The following is a 4,317-nucleotide window of genomic DNA, read 5'->3' on the forward strand; positions in this document are numbered from 1 at the left end:
GGAAGATAACTCCTATTTTAAATCCTAAGGGAAGCCAGGTAATGAAATCCATTAAGAATACACTACCCAGTTGAAAGTTGAAAAGGAGATTAGGGAAGACAAATGTAATTACCCGACTTGTAATTTGGTCAAGACACCAAGGTTAATAACATTCTTCGTTTTTCAAAAGTTGCCATGAACTTTTTAATACCTTATAATGGCCAGTGTCACAATTTTTATTCCTTATACAAGAGATGAACTCTTCAATATGCATTTTTAAATGTTAAGCATGTATGTACGGATATGTATTCCCCATTACACATGCACATACATTTGCACATATATAAATATTAGAAAATGAATTTTTTTAACTAAGTAAAATGCTTAGATGGAAAATAGTTGGCTTTTTCCATTGCAAATCTGTTGAGGAGTTTTGAGTAAAACTAAACGCTTTTATGACAGTTAAAAGTGGAGATTAATGTTTAGGCCACAACATTATTTAGAGGTTAAGAGTCTGGTCATCAGAGAGACTTCAGTTCAAGCCAGACTGACATAGACCAGTTACATATCCTCTTTAAATTCATCTTACTTCTTTACAATAAAGAAATAAACTATATTATATCATAGAAACTTTGAAGGAAAGGTAAAGCATATAGAATGTTTAACATAAATATATTATCAATAAATATTAATTATATAACCTATTAATAATATTTAGTTGGTGCTTCTTTGATCTCAAGTATTGATATATGAACCAGTAATTATAGAAAGTAAAGTTCAGAAAATGTCATCACTCTTTGGTAATGTCAGAATATGGAACAACCAGCTACCTTATATATTTATTATGCTAAACTCTTCTGGTATACATGTATCTTTCTTGGTATAAATGTTGACCTATTTGCATTTGTATAATAATGATCCATTTTATTAAAGGATCCTACCATTTGTTTAATTTTGAAGACAATGTTGAAGTGGTATTAAGCATTAAAACTACATAAATAGTACAGTGATTCTTCAATATCTCTTCAGAAATTATCTTCTCTCTTGAGTAAAGCATATTTGTGTTTGGCAAATTCCATATTCCTAAAAATATGAGAAAGCTTTAAATAACTAAACAAAATCAAATTTCTGAAATCAGGAGAAAAACAAAAAAATATATATAGAGAGAGAGAGCATGTTACTGGCATTAAGGAACAAAAGCAAAACTCACTTTTTTATACATTGAGGAACATTGATTTGACTAGGAAAAGGCAATAAAATGATAAACTCAATACTCTTCATGCAATCCACATTGTAAAAGTACTTGAATAAATGTCATGATTAATTTTACTAGTATAGTTATTATCATTAGCTATCATTTATTATAATAATAAATTATTTTATTCTTTAATCATATGTGACAACTAGTTTCAATATTAAAGAAAACTAACTTTCCAGCATTGTTTAAGAAAATATACTGGATGACATAGCTATAAACAATATTATACAAACAACTTAGTGTTGCCATTACCCTTTCCTCTTAAAATGCCTTTAAAAGAAGAGTGAGAGGAACTGTTTAAGAAATGAACAATGTGGACACAGGGAGGGGAACATCACACACCAGGGCCTGTTGGGGGTGGGGGGCCAGGGGAGGGATAGTGTTAGAATAAATACCTAATATAAATGATGAGTTGATGGGTGCAGCAAACCAATATGGCACATGTATACCTATGTAACAAACCTGCACGTTGTGCACATGTACCCTACAACTTAAAGTATACCAAAAAAAAAAAAAAGAAAGAAATTAACAAGGCAGGGCACAGTGGCTCATTTCTGTAATTCCAGTACTTTGGGAGGCCTAGGTGGGAGGATCACTTGAGCCTAGAAGTTTGAAATCATCCATAGCAAGATCTGGTCTCTCTATAAAAAAAAAAAATTAGCTGGGCATGGTGGTGTGCCCTTGTAGTACCAGCTACTCTAGAGGCTGAGGTGGGAGGATCCCTTGAGCCCAGGAGTTTGAGGCTGCAGTGAGGTATGTTCCTACCATTGCACTACAGCCTGGAAGACAGAGAGAGATCCTGTCTTGAAAGCAAGCAAGGAAGGAAGGAAGGAGGGAAGGGGGAAGGAGGGAGATTGGAGGGAGGGAGGAATGGAGGGAGGGAGGGAGGAGAAAAAAAGAACATAATATATGTCTTTATCAAGCTACAGTTCATATCCAAATATTTTAATCACAACCCTTTTATTCAAACTAGCTTAAGCAAAAATGCATTTGATTAGCCTCAGTAAATAGGAATTCTGGGGCATGGAGCTATTATCTTAAAGATTATTAAATCTCTCTCTTTCATACACATGCTTAGCACTCTTTATTTTCAGTGCAGTTTATCTCTGTGTTGATATCTTTCCCACTTGTTGAAGAAAATGGCTGAACATAGTTTCAGACTTTCATCAAGTCAGCTTAAGAACTACTGAATAAAGAGAGAAAGTGCTTTTCCCAGTGCCTTTACATAAAATCCTGGACATCTATTTGCCTTGGGCTTTGTGTCCATTTGTGAACTAATCACTATGACCAGGATAATGGAGCTTTGATTGCACAGGTATGGGTCAAATGCCCAGCTATACGTTGGCAGGAACTGGAAAACTACGTATGATTCGTAACCATATAAACCAGAAACCTATTGAACAGAGAAGAGATTGTCCCTAAAGCAAATGGAATCATGTTGTCAGAAGAATGGAAGGAAGAATATTATGTAGATAAAATTGGCAGCTACATTAATTTTGTGATAGGTTTCCATTAAATTAATAAAGACAAAGTGGAATTACAGAAAACATTACACAAAAATAAATACATTTTGCACAATATGTTATGCACTGTGATGAAGACCCTGTGTTAGCTTTGTATAGGACTTTTTTCAAATCACTGACACTCTCTGTAATTTAGTGTCTTCAATTATAAAACTAGGAAGCTCAACTTTCAACTTACCTTCACTAGATTCAAAACATTATAGCTTTTAGGTAAGTCCAAAGGTATGTTTCCTGGATATTCTCAATTTAAAGGGAAGTGGTAGAGGTGGGTATATAATAGGCTTTCGGGTCACATGTATCTATGCCTTAGATCTGTCATTTACTAGATGTTTAAACTTGTACAAAGAAGCAGTTTCTTCTTTTATATAATGGCGGTAGAGAGATAGCTATATCACCTACATCATAAAGGTGGTTGTGATGAATACTTGAGATAATCACAGTGTCTGTCATGTAAACACCATTTAATAAATGTCAGATTTTTTTTGTAATTACTGCTATTATTTGTTGTTTCTATGCCTTTCAGAAAAGATTTTACATATTCCTCATTCACTACATGTCTAAATACTCAACATTTTTTGAATATAAAAATATTTTAAAAATTATTCTTCAACCAATTTATGAATTCAGTTGGTGATAAATCAAAAGTGAAGTGTTTTTTAAAATAACCTGCAACAACATCAGGAAGTTATAAAAAGCTCAAGTTCAATTCCTTCTAGAGTATTTGGAATAACATGTTTTCTGTTCAGACTAATTATGGGGTCACAGAAAGCAAGAATGCTACCACTTACTTCTCTTCTTTCTCTTGCCCCAGTAAATGGGAAGGGAGGGAAAGTGGAGCAGTCATTATGGACATCTCTCCATAGAATGATGTCATTAAAAAAATTCTCATCAGAAAATGACACTTAACTGACATGAAAAGTTAAATACTGTTTTACGTTAAGTGGCCATCACCAGCATTTTCAAGAGCTAATGAAAGGAAAGTACATTTCTTTTTTAAAAGCACTTGTTGAACACTATAAATTCAAAATGACCTTTATGTAATTGCAGAAAGAGGGATGGAGAATCTTCTGTGATTTGTATTATATCTTCTAATGTAAAGTTTTGACTATTTTATGAGGGACCAGCATGAGATGAATAGCATCGAATTCAAAGAAGCAGCAGGAAAAAAAGTGAAAGAATGAATGGATGCCAGACACATTGCCTATTTTTTCAGTTATTAGTGGGTAGGATTGATAGCTCCCATCGAAGCCTCACTTTCTTTTTATTTTTAATATACATATTTATCTGTAAATATATTAAGTCAATACACATATACATTTACAGATACACCATATACATATTTTGACTGAATACCTAATGGCTACTTCGAAATTATGTTGAAATTAAGATTGATCCAAAACAAAGACTGAAGCCAAATATCTCTATGTACAGAACAAACTGAATGAACTCTGTGATGTAAGAGTCCATCTAAAATGAAAGTAATGAAAACAAGGAACTGTAGCCAATTCAAAAGGCCTAAACATATAGTGACTATGCACAGGAAAATAGGAAAACTTA

The 4,317-nt window shown here is 33.2% G+C and overlaps 1 annotated feature.

Annotated features, from left to right (window-relative positions):
• Positions 3,627 to 3,796: an enhancer, noted in NCBI's record as "experimental_84285 CRE fragment used in MPRA reporter constructs". NCBI's record gives its function as "activates a minimal promoter by MPRAs in K562 erythroleukemia cells, with activity observed for the introgressed 5:30676027 variant allele {active_cell/tissue: K562}" and the evidence as "EXISTENCE:reporter gene assay evidence [ECO:0000049][PMID:34662402]".

The sequence above is a fragment of the Homo sapiens genome, chromosome 5 (assembly GCF_000001405.40).
Source record: "Homo sapiens chromosome 5, GRCh38.p14 Primary Assembly".
Classification (NCBI taxonomy): Eukaryota; Metazoa; Chordata; class Mammalia; order Primates; family Hominidae; genus Homo; species Homo sapiens.